General features: G+C 37.4%; 1 protein-coding gene and 1 long non-coding RNA gene across 8 annotated transcripts in view, besides 2 other annotated features; both read left to right on the forward strand.

Moving 5' to 3' along the window:
- PKN2 (protein kinase N2) overlaps nucleotides 1-15,414 on the forward strand; it is a 151,983-nt gene that overhangs the window by 105,275 nt on the left and 31,294 nt on the right. For 6 of the 7 annotated variants that reach the window (XM_047425224.1, NM_006256.4, NM_001320709.2 and 3 more), the window contains 2 exons: nucleotides 14,844-14,987; nucleotides 15,299-15,374. In XM_047425224.1, the coding sequence (XP_047281180.1) occupies nucleotides 14,844-14,987; nucleotides 15,299-15,374 (220 nt within the window). The remainder of the gene's footprint in view (nucleotides 1-14,843; nucleotides 14,988-15,298; nucleotides 15,375-15,414) is intronic. The other variant, NM_001320707.2, reaches the window with a different exon arrangement.
- On the forward strand, nucleotides 88-14,244 carry LOC124904214 (uncharacterized). Its single transcript, XR_007066211.1, has 2 exons — nucleotides 88-506; nucleotides 2,548-14,244. It is a non-coding gene; the product is annotated as an uncharacterized LOC124904214 (long non-coding RNA).
- Nucleotides 12,168-13,367: an enhancer, noted in NCBI's record as "BRD4-independent group 4 enhancer chr1:89267398-89268597 (GRCh37/hg19 assembly coordinates)". NCBI's record gives its function as "activates an origin of replication core promoter dependent on BRD2, P300/CBP, MED14 and CDK7 cofactors, and independent of BRD4, by STARR-seq in HCT116 cells {active_cell/tissue: HCT116}" and the evidence as "EXISTENCE:reporter gene assay evidence [ECO:0000049][PMID:35650434]".
- Nucleotides 12,476-12,585: an enhancer, noted in NCBI's record as "active region_1292". NCBI's record gives its function as "activates an Ori minimal core promoter by ATAC-STARR-seq in GM12878 lymphoblastoid cells {active_cell/tissue: GM12878}" and the evidence as "EXISTENCE:reporter gene assay evidence [ECO:0000049][PMID:35858748]".

Below are 15,414 nucleotides of genomic sequence, written 5' to 3' on the forward strand. Positions count from 1 at the left end.
AGCTACTTGGGCGGCTGAGGCTGAGACTCTGCTTAAACCCCGGAGGCAGAGGTTGCAGTGAGCTGAGATCACGCCACTGCACTCCAGCCTGGGCGACAGAGCAAGACTCTATCTCATAATAATAATAATAATAATAATAATAATAACAACAACAAAATAAGATTATAAGAACCCAAGGGACTTTTCATTTATTGGTTTCTAATTTTCAGAAATTTTTGACTCACACTACATGAAAGAAGATTGGAATTTAACTTTTAAACCACCGCACTCCTATTCTCATTCTCCCAAATAATTATGTTAAATCAGTAATCTAGTGTTTATTATAACTATAAAGATTGTCCATAGATGAACCAAGTTCTGTATGGTGATTATATTTCCTTTTTAATACCTTTTCCTCCCTTAGGGCCACTAAATACCTCTTTGTTTTGTTTTGCTTAGTTTTCTGCATACCTATTATTTATCCCCAAAAGCTCCAGAAGGACTCTGAAACAACTCTATGTAAGCAGGTATGCTTGGTTATGTATTAGTCCGCATTTCTTCCCCATTAGAAGCATCCTTTCTGGGGCCTTACATCTTTCTGCTCCAATTTATATAGCTGCTACACAGCTTTCATCTTGAGACTTTGTTTTACTATCATCTTGAGAACTCTCTTCTACATTGGATCACTTGAGTCTTGGATCACTCCATCTTCTTGCTTTACCTCCTCATGCTGGTGAATCATATCCTTCATTTTCATGCTGAGAAAAGGGTGAATGAAATAAAGTTTTAGAGATGATATATGTCTGAAAATATGTATATTCTACTATCATACTTGGAGTATAGAATTCTTTTAGGTTGGTGCAAAAGTAATAGCGGTTTTGCCATTACTTTTGATTGCAAAAACTGTGATAACTTTTGTACCAACCTAATAGGTTGGAAATTACTTTCATTAATTTTGAGTTGTGTAATTATTATTTAGCCTCAGTATTACAGTCGAGAATTCTGTGTCTCCCTTGATTTTTAATATTTAATCATGATCTGTTAGATCTGCTAGATCTCTAAAAACTTTTAAGATTTTATCTTTTTTTCCCCGGGATTCTGAAATTTCACAGTAGTGTATCTTACTTGGGTATCTTTCATTCTTTTTGGTGGATATTGTGTGGCACTTTCAGTTTGAAAGCTTATTTGTTTCAGATCCAATAAATTTCCTTGAGTTATTTATTTGATAATTTTCTCATGTCCATTTTTAGTGTTTTCTCTTGGTAGTTAAACCTCTTAGATTGATCCTGTGATTTTCTTTTGTCTATGGTTTCTGTCTTTTTGTTCTACTTTCTAGGAAATTTTTACAACTGAAAAATTTACATTTGATGTCATATTTTTAATTTTTAGAAGTTCATTTTTGTTGTTTAGTTTTTGAAAAACAACACCCTGTTTTTCTCTCATGGAGATAATACCATCTCTTAAAACTGAGAATATCAGTTTTAAATTTTCTTCTTGAATTGTCTCTACTACTTCTGAGGTCTCTTTTAAGATGTCTGCTTATCATATTGTATATTTGGGCAAATGTGTGGCCATCCATGGCTTTCTTAAGAATGAGACACTAAAGTAACCAATTTAAAGCTGTGTGTGGGCCAGGTGTGGTGGCTCATGCCTGTAAACCCAGCACTTCGGCAGGCCGAAGTGGGCAGATCACTTGGTCAGGTGTTTGAGACCAGCCTGACCAACATGATGAAACCCTGTCTCTACTGAAAATCCAAAAGTTAGCCGGGCATGGTGGTGGGTACTTGTAATCCCAGCTAACCTAGGAGGCTGAGGCATGCGAATTGCTTAAACCCAGAAGGCAGAGGTTGCAGTGAGCTGAGATTGCACCACTGCACTGAGCAACAGAGTGAAACTCTGTCTCAAAAAAAAAAAAAAAGCTGTGTGTGTGGAGTTGCCCAGGTTTTGAACTAGTTGAGAGAAACAAAGAAATGACTAATGGAAAATAAAATATCCATATTACTGAAAAAATAAGCTGTTTTTTGAGAGTATGGCTGGGTATGCAGCAAGAGTGGGGTTATGTCCAGTCTCTTGGATCACTGTAGGCCCCGATCTGTGTAAAATTTAAAGCAGGGAGGAAAAGAGCAAACTACTTCCATTGAACAGCCTGGCTTTCAACAGAAAAGAAGGAATGGGCTATGTTCCTCATGTCCAGTTTGTCTTCCAGAGTCTCCTATCAGATAACAGATTCTGAGGTTTGAATAAGAGTATTGAGGTAAAGACCTATCCAGATATTTAGGGAAAATGGGGAAATTATTTCTCATAGCAACCATGGCAGTGAGAAAGATGCTTTCTCCCTAGAAAAGGATAAAAATGCATGCAGCCACCATACCTGGTCACAGATTTTTTAATGGGGAGTAAAGCACTATAATATAGCAGAACAAGAGTAGGAATACAAAGATACTTTTAATTTTTTACATGTTATAAACTGTCTGACACTGGGAGTATTGTTTCATCTGAGATACTGTTTTTTAACTTGTAACAAAGCTGTAACACTTATCTTTTTTACCCCTCCTTTGCTGCTTCCAGATTCCACCGCTGTTAAAAATAACATGTCGGCCGGGTGCGTTGGCTCACGCCTGTAATCCCAGCACTTTGGGAGGCCGAGGCGGGCGGATCACCTGAGGTCGGGAGTTCAAGACCAGCCTGACCAATATGGAGAAACCCCGTCTCTACTAAAAATACAAAATTAGCTGGACATAGTGGCGCATGCCTGTAACCCAGCTACTCGGGAGGCTGAGGCAATAGAATCGCTTGAACCTGGGAGGCAGAGGTTGCAGTGAGCCAAGATCGTGCCACTGGACTCCAGCCTAGGCAACAGAGTGAGACTCCGTCTCAAAAAATAAATAAATAAATAAATAAATAACATGTCATGTATTCCTCTGGGGCTATATGACTTCTTTGAGACTATGAGCTGTATAGTTGACCCTTGAGCAACGCAGGGGCTAGGGAGCACAAGCCTACATTTCCAACCCATGTACTCGAAAATCCACATAACACTTTTGACTCCCCCAGAACTTAAATACTAATAGTCTACTGTGGACCAGAAGCCTTATTGATAACATAGACAGTCTATTTTGCAAAAAATACAAGGTTTTTGTGCCTGCCGTCTTAGCTGCAGCAGCAGCTTCAGAAATTTCCTTTTCTTCTTTTACAGTGGTTCTTATTCTGGATTCATTTATATTGAAATGGCAGAAGCTACAACTGCAAACCTCAATATATAGGATACATATCAAGCAGTTCAACTTGTTCTTGTAATGTCATGATTTTTCTCCCCTTCTTGGGAGCGCTTCCAGCATCACTAGTGGTACTTTGTAAGGGTTCCATAATATTATTCAAGGTTTATGGTATTGCATTAAATACCATGAAAAATATGCAAGAACTGAGGCAGATCACTTTTACTGCCATATGCAATTTACTAGAGAGATGAACTGCTCAGGCAGAAATAATTAGATTTACATAGTGTTTTAAATGGATACTGTTGACACTTGAGCTCACCATAAGAGCATTAGGAGGTGGCTACAAAATTATAGTAGTACAGTACTACAGTTAATTTTATGCAGTTATGATTTAATATTGCATCTTGATGTTTGTTTATATTTCTCTTGACTATAAATGGTGCCATGTATGGTCTGTAAGTGTTTGTGTGTAAGTTTGATAAATTCTAACCTTTTCTAATAGATTTGTGTATTTTATGGTAGTGAATGATAAAATAGACTAGTATCTACATATATGCATTCATGACATATCTTTGTTGTAATGTTTTTGATATTTCTATGCTATGTGATTCATCTGCAGATTTTTCAAACTGTTGCACATTTCCAAAAAAGATTCCAGTATATTTATTGAAAAAAAATCCACGTATAAGTCGACCTGTACATTTCAAACTTGTATTGTTCATAGGTCAGCAGTATAGAATTGCCTACTTTTTTTTCTTTTTTGTTTCTGTTATTTCTTGAACATCAGGTACTCTCTGATATTCATTAAGGATGACTTTTATTCTTCCTTCCAACATTTGCCATCATTATGAGGGATTTAAAATATCTGCATACAGTTGTCCCTTGGTATCCATGGGGAACGATTTCAGGACTCCCTCTCCCTGTACCAAAATCCATGGATGCTCAAGTCCTTTATATAAAATGGTGTATTTGCATATAACCCACACACATCCTCCTGTATACTTTAAATCATCTCTACAGTAATTATAATACCCAGTGCAATGTAAATGCTATATAAATTATTATACTGTATTGTTTAGGGAATATTGACAAGAAAAAAAAGTCTACATATTCAGTACAAATACAACTATCCTTTTATTCCCCAAATATTTTCAGTCGTGGTTGGTTTAATCCACAGATAAGGAACCCACAGATACAGAGGGTGGACTGTATATGTAAACAACCCATATAATATACCACTATTTAAACTTCTTTGAACTCCTGAACTCTGGTATACCTTTACTCCTTTGTCATTTTAAATGAACTGTGCTACACAAATTGAAATCTTAAATTCGATATACCTGTTGGGCACGGTGGCTCACGCCTGTAATCCCAGCACTTTGGGAGGCTGAGGCAGGCAGATCACCTGAGGTTGGGAGTTCAAGACCAGCCTGACGAACATGGAGAAACCCCATGTCTACTAAAAATACAGAATTAGCCAGGCATGGTGGCACATGCCTGTAGTCCCAGCTACTTGGGAGGCTTAGGCAGGAGAATCACTTGAACCCGAGAGGCGGAGGTTGCGGTGAGCCGAGATCATGCCATTGCACTCCAGCCTGGGCAACAAGAGCGAAATTCTGTCTCAAAAAAAAAAAAAAAAAATCAATATGCCAGCCTTTCACCAGTTCTCTTGTTGTCCTGAATGATAAACTACAGAAAGCACCTAGAATAATTAGCCAAGTTTGGGGCACAAGCCTGTAGTCCTAGCTACTGGGGAGACTGAGGCAAGATTACTTGAGCCCAGGAGTTGAATACAGCAGTGAGCTGAGACCATGCCACTGCATTCCAGGCTGGGCAACAGAGTGAAACCCTTTCATTAATTAGCTAACTAATTAATGCACCTAGGATAATACCTTGTACATAATGGTATTCAGTAAACGATAGCTCTTGTTATTGTTTTTCTTCTAGCTGTTTTTTTTATTATCACAAAGCTAGATATTTGATCAAATATTTCCATTTCCTTGATTCTTCAGGATATTTTCATGCTATCAGCCCCTTCCAAACTTAATTTTCTTCTCTATTTACCCTAAAACCAATGTTACTCTGAAGCATTTCTTTACTGATACTGCCACAGCATCCTTTGACCTTATCTTTATACCTACCTGCTGTGGAAACTCCCAATAGCAAATAATTTCTATTCTGCTTCTCTACTCTATATCCTGAATGTTGCTTCTCTGCTCTATATCCTGAATGATCACATTTACTACTGCAAATTTTAGTTTTCAATCTTAGCTAGGCTTGTAAAAGTTATCCCACATTTTACATTTTTATTTCATTACCAGCAACTTTTCTTTTGCCTGTCTCTTCAAGTTTTCTACCCCACGTCAGACTCCTTTGCTTTTGTTTTATAGATTAGATTTAAGACCATCAGACCTCAGCTTTCTCCTATCACCTGCTAATTTTTTTGTATCTTCCTCCTTGGTTTCAGAGAACGAAGTCTCTCTCTTTCCTGTTTACAGTCTATGATCATTCAAGTTGCCCTCTAGTTTCCATTCTTTCTAGTCTCCTATAGCCTTGTTTCATAAGTTAGCCCTATTAGCACCTATATTTTTAACCACTTCTTTCTTCTGATATCTTATTCTTGTTGGATATACTCACATTCCTCCCATTAAAAATTTTTATTTTGCTTCGTCCTAGCTCTATTGATAGGTCTTTCTTTCACAGACAAGATTCTTGAAAAATAAGTTGTGTTCAGAATCTGTTCTTCCTCACCCTCCCATATGTTAAACTGAAGTTTCTACTGCCATTATAGGTTCTGAACAAAAAACCTTATGTATAGTGTCTAATTTAATCCTCACAATAATCTTATGATATACATACAATTATTTCTATTTTAGAGAGTACTGAGGTTCCAGGAGTTTCAGTTAGTTTTCTCAGGCCACACAGCTAGAAAGTGGTGGAGCCAGTAATCAACACAAGCATCTCTCACCAAAGTCAAGTCTGTCTGAAGCCACGGCTTTTGTTCTTCATTAGAGTTAGCAAACTTGTCTCTATTTCTAGTCTATCCTTTTGGCAGTGTAGATTTTCTTCATTGCATATCACAATAATAATAAAAGGCGACATATTGAGATTGACTTATGTACTGGAGTTGTATTAACTCCTTTAATTCTCACACAGCGCTGCAAGGTTGATACCATTAACACATATTTTACAGGTGAGCAATCTGAGACCCAGCAAAGTTAAATAACTTGCTCACGGTCACAGAACTACTAAGTGGTGTGGGATTAAGATTTAACCTATTTGTTCTACAAACATTTATTGAGTGTGCATGCATACGCAAGGCAGTTTGATCCCAGTGCTTTTCTTTTTAGCAACTATACAGGTTGAATATCCTTTATCTGAAATACTTGGGACCAGAAGTATTTTAGATTCCAAATTTTTTTTCAGATCTTAGAATCTTTGCATTTAAAAATGCAAACTGATTGAGCATCTGAAAAATTTGAAATCCCAAATCCTCCAATGAGCATTGCCTTTCATTGTCATATTTGTGCTCAGAAAGTTTCAGATTTTGTAGCTTTTCAGGTTAGGGATACTCAGCCTGTACTGCCTGATGTGATCCAATCCCTACCCCTCCTTACACCGAAACCCTTTAGTACCAGCCTGTAACTTCAAGTTAAAGACCAAATTCTACTCCAAGTCATGCTAAGCTCCTCATGACTTATCTCTGCCCATGTTTTCATTCTTATTTCTCACAGCATTTCTACTTATATTCTAGGCTTTAACTATATGAAACTGTTTCCTATCCCTATGATGTACTATATACTTCCTTACCTTTGTATGTTTTTTCCCCTCTGATGACTTTGTCCTCTCCTTTAATCTTTAGATATAGCTCTCAAAACCCAATTTGAGCAATTATGATATTTTTTGATCTTCCTACTACCTTTCCCTTACAAAAAAATTGGTCAGCTCTCTGTTTTGTGTCATTGTGCATATTGTATATGCCACTGTATTGCCAGTATTGATTTACATTTCTGTCTCCCAGAATTTCCGTCTTCCAAAGCAAAACTGTGAACTATTTGAGAGCAGGACCATATGTTACTTATCTTTGTATCTCTATCACAGAAGACACTTAGTATACATATTCACTAAGTATTAATGGGATGAATGAAAATAATTAAAACTGAAAAGGAGGTTTGCTCAACCTTTTTTTTTTTTTTTGCTGCAGCATACCCAAAGAATACAACACACTCTAGTCAATACAGTGATTCCCAAATAGATACAGGTCAGAATCTGAGAAGGGAGGGCAGGTATAAATTTGAAAATGTCAGGGCCAGGCACAGTGGCTCACGCCTGTAATCCCAGCACTTTGAGAGGCTGAGGCGGGCGGATCACCTGAGGTCAGGAGTTCAAGACCAGCCTGGCCAACATGGTGAAACCCCATCTCTACTAAAAATCCAAAAATCAGCCATGTGTGGTGGCAAGCGCCTGTAATCCTAGCTACTCAGGAGGCTGAGGCAGGAGAATCACTTGAACCTGGGAGGCGGAGGTTGCGGTGAGCTGAGGTTGCACCATTGCACTCCAGCCTGGGCAACAAGAGCAAAACTCTATCTTAAAAAAAAAAAAAAGAAAGAAAATGTCTTCCAGGTGCAGTGGCTCATGCCTATAATCCCAGCACTTTGGGAGGCTCAGGTGGGCGGATCACGAGGTCAAGAGATCAAGACCATCCTTGCCAACATGGTGAAACCCTGTCTCTACTAAATATACAAAAATTAGCTGGATGTGGTGGTGCACACCTGTAGTCCCAGCTACTCAGGAGGCTGAGGCAGGAGAATCTCTTGAATCTGGGAGGCAGAAGTTGCAGTGAGCGGAGATTGCGCCACTGCGCTCCAGCCTGGCGACAGAGACTCCGTCTCAAAAAAAAAAAAAAAAGAGAGAGAATGTCTTCCTTACCTACTCTCATCTCGCTCCACACAACTGAATCTGATTTAATTATCTGTGCCTCACTTGTTATTAGGAAATCACTGCTCTACAACATAGTGTAGACATTTTAGCTTTTTCTTACCTCTCTGATCTGTAAATTAATACTCAAGGCCTCCATTTAGCACTGTGAGAAATGTAATAGAGACCAGGCACAGTGGTTCATGCCTGTAATCCCAGCACTTTGGGAGGCTGACATGGGAGAATGGTTTGAGACTAGCCTGGGCAACACAGCAAGACTTCATCTCTATTCTATAAATAAATGCACACAAAAAAGAAAACAATTTTTAAAATTAGTGAAATTTTAAGAAGAATTTTTAAAAAGAAATGCCAAAGAATGCAAAAGCACCAGAGGTATTCCTTCCATAAAGGACCCTAAGGCCTGGTAGGTTAAAAATAAATTGTTTGAGACAAAATAAAAAACTATTAAATTGTATTTCAGAAGCTTAGGGGAATAATAATTCTACCAACATGAGCTTGCATACAAAATTTTAAAATACATGAGGATATAGCCACCATGACCAAGCAGAAGCAGATAATGGGATTATTAAATATATAATATAAAATATTTTAAAGTTTGTGTTTAAATATTTAAATGATTATAGTATTTAAAGAATAGAAGAGTTTGAAAACATGAGCAAAGGATAGGTGATGAGCCAAAAAGACTAAGCAGAGTTTTAAAATAAATAAATAAAATGAAATTTTAGATGTCTGAAATTTGCTTCAAATAATTATGGGGGAAACGTGGAGATGAAACATTATTGACCATTATTGATAAATTGTTGGTGCTGATGACAAAGAGAACCAAGTAGAACTAAAAAATAGGAAATATAACTTCTGAAATGGAAAACTAAGAGGATATGTTAAAGAAAAGAAGAGAGAGTTAGTGGCCTGAAAGTGCTAAAGAAGTTGCCCAGAATACAACACAAAAAGATTAAGAGATGAAAAATATGAAAGAAAGATTAAGAGACATGAAGGATAAACTAAGAATGACTAACACACGGAGTGGAGTTCCAGAAGGAAGGATTAGAAGGAATGGGGCAGAGGCCACATCTGAAGGAATAATAGCCAGTAACTTCCAGAATGATGACAACCATGAGTCCTCAGATTTGAGAACATAAGTTCCTACAAGGATACATAAAAAGATAGCTGCGTTCAAAAAACCTTGGGGAAAAAATGTGGGCTGGATTTAAAGGATGCCTTTGTAGAAGAGATGGATGTTTAACTTGCCCTTGATGAGGAGAATTTGGACTGGTATGGGGGAAAGAATAGTAGGAAAATCTTATGTAACAATATAGGTTTGAGTTGGAGAATAAGATATAAGATTAGAAATAGAAGCTATATATGTAAAGACATGGAGGCAGAAAAGTATACAATAGGTTTGGAATAATTAGGAGTCTTTGGAACTTTTTATATGATGTGGATTGACATAGGAAGCAGTTGTGCATAGTTGATAGAGCATAGCAGTTTCTATCATAGTTGTTTTTGTCTTTCCTATAAAGGGAGCAGAGGCAGTAACCCACATCTATAGCAGGCCGACTTTTCCTGCCAAGATCATGGCCTTAATAGTCTCCATTATCTCTGTCTCCTACTGTTGTCTCTGTATTTCTCATCCTCCCATATGATCCCAAAGTTTCCCTCTTTTTGTCACATTTGTTCCAGCTGGAGAATCACTCTCATTGGACTGCTGAACTGAAAACATATATTATTGTTTCTTGAGGTGGTGGTTTTCTGTTTTTCCCCAGTGGATTCCATTGTCCTTCCTTCCCTGTCCTACCCTGTTTTTGGGCTGATGACTACAAAGTTCACTTGAATTACTTGGCTCTGACTTACAATGAGAGACACTGTTAAGAGATCCAAGAGCTAGGAGGAAAGGAAAGTCGCAGTGTGTATTTCCCTTTCTCCTTCCTTGCCTTGCCTTGCTTTTCACAACAGCATTCATCTATGGCCACCAACTCCTGTCGGGTAGTTCCTTTTTTAAGATTTAGTCTAAATCAGATTCTGGCAATGATTTAAGTTCCTCTTGCCCCTTCAGGCTAAGAGTGATAATGGATTTCTACTGTTGCTTGTCCTCAGATTCTTTTCATTCCTTGTTGGTTTAACTTTAATCACATCTCCATAAGTAGCCAATTTAAAAAACTCTCTTTAGTTAAACTCTTTCAGTGTACTATCTGCATGCTGCTAGGACCCTCACTGATAAATTTCCAAAGCCTATGTTGTCCTCAGAGGCACATTGAAGACCAATATCATCGCTCGTGTACACGTTTGCAGAAATCTCATCTTTCCTCAGCTCTTGAATTTTCCAGGTATTGAGTTTATTCTGTTTTTTAGTGGCAACAGAAAGCTTTTTTGACCTTTCTTTTCTTTTTGGCGGTGGAGCCTGGTTCTCATTTTCTTCTTTTGCCCTTTTCATTTCAGCAGTGGAGCCCAGCTCTCCACTTCTATCAAAGTTTCCAGACTTTCTCAATTCAGTGTCCTCAGTGTCCTTGTAATGTTTCTGCAGTGTGTCCCTAGACCTAAAGAAATACCCAACAGTTCCATTTATTAAGAAGTGCTTACTAGTTAGTATTTTAAGTCTTAAAACAGGAGTTTTTGAAAAATACAAATACTGAGAGAAAACGTAATATTTTTATTCCATTAGTACATGATTACAATTAACTAATGGGACATGTCTGCCTGTTGTACACTATATAACTTCCCACATCTTGGGATCATAAGGATAACTGCACTCTCATGTCTTCTTCCACAGTGATTCTTCATAGGAAGTTGCTTTTTATTGTTGAAAACCCACCTTAGCAAAGATGGGTTTATGACATCACCAGAAGGAATATGGAATATTCTAATGTTGAAACTATGAACTACCTTTCGCTAGTAGTTCTCACAGTGTCCCATAGATGTCGCTGTGTTCCCTATGAAAAGTGAAAATACTCTCTGGCACCCCAGGGCTCCTCAGTGAACACTTCGAGAACCTCAGCATTCTTTGTGCTAATTCTTTTATGATAGATGTGTACTGTTCTTTTTTCAATTGCAATACATGTTTTAATTTGTTGCTTTCTACCACACATAAGGCTGATGCAGTGTCTCTTACCTTTTTTGTTTACTTTCAGATCTTAGACTTCAGATAAGACATGCAGATTCTTTAAGTCTACCAAGCAGTTTTCTCTTTGATTCTAGATTCAATTCATAATAAGACAAACTGAAACACAAGTTGGGACAGTACCTATCTCAACTTGTACTGCTCAGCTTTTTTTGGTGGTAGTTTTACTCCGTCTAGAATATCGTTGCTCCTAGAGTTTGAAATTATCTAACAGCATGCCCTTGCCTTGTGTAACTGACCTGCTTCATCTAGAAAATTGCCGGCGTACCAGCAATCACACTTGCATTTTAAATTCTAAACATTGGGCCAGGCACAGTGGCTCACGACTGTAATCTCAGCACTTTGGGGGAGCCAAGACGGGTGGATCACCTGAGGTCAGGAGTTCGAGACCAGCCTAGCCAACATGGCAAAACCCCATCTCTATTAAAAATACAAAAATTAGCCATGTGTGGTGGTGGGTGCCTGTAATCTCAGCTACTCAGGAGGCTGAGGCAGGAGAATCACTTGAACCTGGGAGGCAGAGGTTGCAGTGAGCTGAGATTGCACCATTGCACTCCAGCCTGGGCAATAAGAGTGAAACCCCATCTCAAAAAACAAAAAATAATAAAAAATAAATGGTAAACATTAGTGACATCTTCTTATGCAGAAGCTTCAGTCTATCTGTATGGTACCTTGTTTTTCAGATACCATGTGACTGTTTTACTTATTCAAACCATGCTGGATGTTAGGATTTAAAGTGGGATTGAACACAAGTGGTGGAGTACTAACATAAAATATCTCTAGATCACAGCCCCACCCTCCCACTTATGTTGTGAAGAAAGTAACGCTCACTGGGAACAGTGCAAAGTAACAAAAAATGAAGAGCTTTATATGTAAAATGTTAGAAACAGATAATCGGTGCCGTGAAGAAAAGTCAGCACGGAGACAAAGGATCTCTCAGCAAGGCAATCTTTACTTTCTGCAGAAAGCGTGCCCCTCGCAAATGGAACAATCGCGAGAGCACACCTGAACAAAGGAAAAGCAGACATATATATCCCTTATGCATTTGGGTTGTCCTTACTGCTGTGTCCTGCATCCATTGGCTGGAGCTGGACCTCACAGTCTTAAACTGATTACTGATTTGCTAATAACCTAAAACTTTCCTAAATAGGTAAATGCAAAGGAGAACAAAGAGGAAGAGGAAGTTGCTTATGAAAGGTTTAAGGAAGCAACAACATTTCCAAATAAGGAAGGGGCATAAGCTGTGAGCTAAGACTTGCCTGGGCCTGTCCAGACATGCTTGAGTAAGCCAAAGCAACTAACTGGGCTAAAGCGTAAGAACTGATAGTTGATAGGAGGCTTTAGAGTAAGGAGCTATTATTCCTAGTGTCTTTTATTTTATTTTTAAATCAAGATGAGCTTTGAAGAGGAACTTTTCTACTTTCTACATAAAACTTTAATGTAGAGTATAGAATTCTAGGAAAGCTAGCTTAAGGTCTGTGAGGTGACTTATCCCAAATCTCAGATCTGTAACATACTTTATAAATTTTAATTTTTTTTTTTTTTTGAGACAGGGTCTCGCTCTGTTGCCCAGGCTGGAGTGTAGTGGCATGATCTTGGCTCACTGCAACCTCCACCTCCTGGGTTTAAGTGATTCTCATGCCTTAGCCTCCCAAGTAGCTGGGACCACAGGTGCGTGCACCACGCCCGGCTAACTTTTGTATTTTTAGTAGAAATGGGGTTTCACCATGTTGGCCGTTGCTAGTCTCGAACTCCTGACCTCAAGTGATTCACCCACGTCAACGTCCCAAAGTGCTGGGATTACAGGCATGAGCCACCTTGCCCAGCCTATAATGTACTTTAGTTTGAAGCATGGAATGAAGAGACAGAGGAAAGAGAAATTAGTCAATATGTTAGTTTTACCAGACTGGCTGGAATAAATAGCAAATGAGGTGATTGGACCTTCTCTTATTCACAATAAGACAAAATCTTACCATTTTAGCCAGTGTAAAAGTGTAATAAGAACTTTTAACAAGTATTAATTCTGTCTCTAGCGTATGTGCATCTTGCATCTTCCTGATGCATAACAAGTCTTCCTTGTAACAGTGGAAGAAAGCAGGAGAAAGTAGACCTCTCTTCCTCCAATCTAAAAAAATGGAGTCTAAATTACCAATCCTGACATGATTCTTCCTCCAGTTTATTTCACAAAATAACTGCTTCCAAAATACTTAACACTTTTAACTTCAATAGAATATTATAGCCTTAGTACCCCATCCCTTCTATATGCCATTTGCTAGTCTTAATTATATTCTCCTCATACTTCTTTCATGACAGTTCTCTCCCATATTAATTATGAGTCAGAGAGAAGAAATGAGGTGGAAGGCCCTGAGATCACATTCTCACTGCCATAGACGTATTTTTCTAATTCTTTTCCTGTTTGACTGTGAAACCCTCTGGCACATTGTATTTTGATTCTTTTCATGTTGCATTTTTTATAAGTGTTTTTCGTGTTCATTAACATCAACTAGATATATAATTTAAGGTCAATAGATTTTTTTTTACTGTTTATACCAAAACGTTACATAATGAAATGCATAAGTTTATAAATTGAAATTTGTTATATAAAATAAGTAATTTATTGCTTTGTAGAGCCTTAAAAGGAGAAACATTTATCTCTTTTTGTGGATGGTGTACAGAAGCCTGAAAAACAAAATAATAGAAAAGTCCAGTACTTTATGATTAAAATGTATATACGTTAAAACATATAGGTAGAGGTCAGTATATGGTTTGGCCACAGCTTAGGAACTATGTTCTACAGGTGCATTTAAACACTGGTTATTAAAACCTTAAATATATTTCGCCACATAAGCATTATTTTCAGTGTCTACTGTGTATTCTCTCATACGGCTTTGGTATAATTAACTTGTCCCTGGTTTTTGAACATTCAAATTCTTGCTAATTTGCTTTTTAAATTATGTTTTATTGTTATAATAAATGAATATCTTTCTGTATAAAGCTTGGTCTGAATTTCCCCTTTCTTCCTTTCGTACGCAGAATGGGTCTTGCTACCCAGTGGTATTCTTTTGAAAATTAAATGACCTAATATTCTTAAAGTGCTTATTAGCACAATATGTGGCACATTGTGAGTACAGAATAAATGCTATTTGCAGAACTTTTTCTGGCTTAGCAATGAGACAAATAAATACAAAGGTTTCAAATGAGTTATTTGAAGCAAGCATTGGGGTAGTAACATAGCACATGATGGCAAATAGAGGAGGGAAATCTGAAAGATTGAAGCTCTAAGAGAAGGAGTTTCGGTGGTTATTCATCTGTATTGGTTGTTCCCAGTTGTGTATTCTTTAAGTATACTTTAGGAATACCTTAGCTGGAAAATGTCACAATGTAAGTTTTGTTTCTTTGAATTAAAATGTGTAAGTTTGATAAAGTACTATACAGTTGAGAAATGTTACAAACCTCTTTAAAACAGTGTGACCTTTGTGTGTGTAATTTTTGTTTATTGTATTTGTATTTCATATTTTTTGTGATATTTTATTCAAGTGTGTGTCCAATGATGTCTTTTCTGTTTTCTTTATTATTTTTTTTAATTATCCTAGTCACGTGAACTGGAAATTTCAGTTTATTGGCGTGATTGGCGGTCTCTGTGTGCTGTAAAATTTCTGAGGTTAGAAGATTTTTTAGACAACCAACGGCATGGCATGTGTCTCTATTTGGAACCACAGGGTACTTTATTTGCAGAGGTAATAAATGTATTTTATTAAATGTGCATAACTACAATTGAAATTACATATGTAGGCAGCATAATATAGAAGTAGAAAGAGTGTTAGGCTGAAAGACAGATGACTTGAGTTCTTGGCTGAGCTATGCCACTGAATAGGTATGTGACTTTGAGACAAATCAATTATTCTTCCTATGTCTGTTTTCTCATGTAGAAAATGAGGGGCTGGACTAAACTGTAACTAAGATTCTCTTAAGCTTTAAAATTTTATAAATTTAGTAGATTTCATGAACCATGCTATTTTCATGTCAACTTGAATTTTCTTCACTGCAGGTTACCTTTTTTAATCCAGTTATTGAAAGAAGACCAAAACTTCAAAGACAAAAGAAAATTTTTTCAAAGCAACAAGGTAATTACTAACAATCAAATGCATAGCATTTTGATATTTT

This window comes from Homo sapiens, chromosome 1, assembly GCF_000001405.40.
Source record: "Homo sapiens chromosome 1, GRCh38.p14 Primary Assembly".
In the NCBI taxonomy this organism is placed as follows: Eukaryota; Metazoa; Chordata; class Mammalia; order Primates; family Hominidae; genus Homo; species Homo sapiens.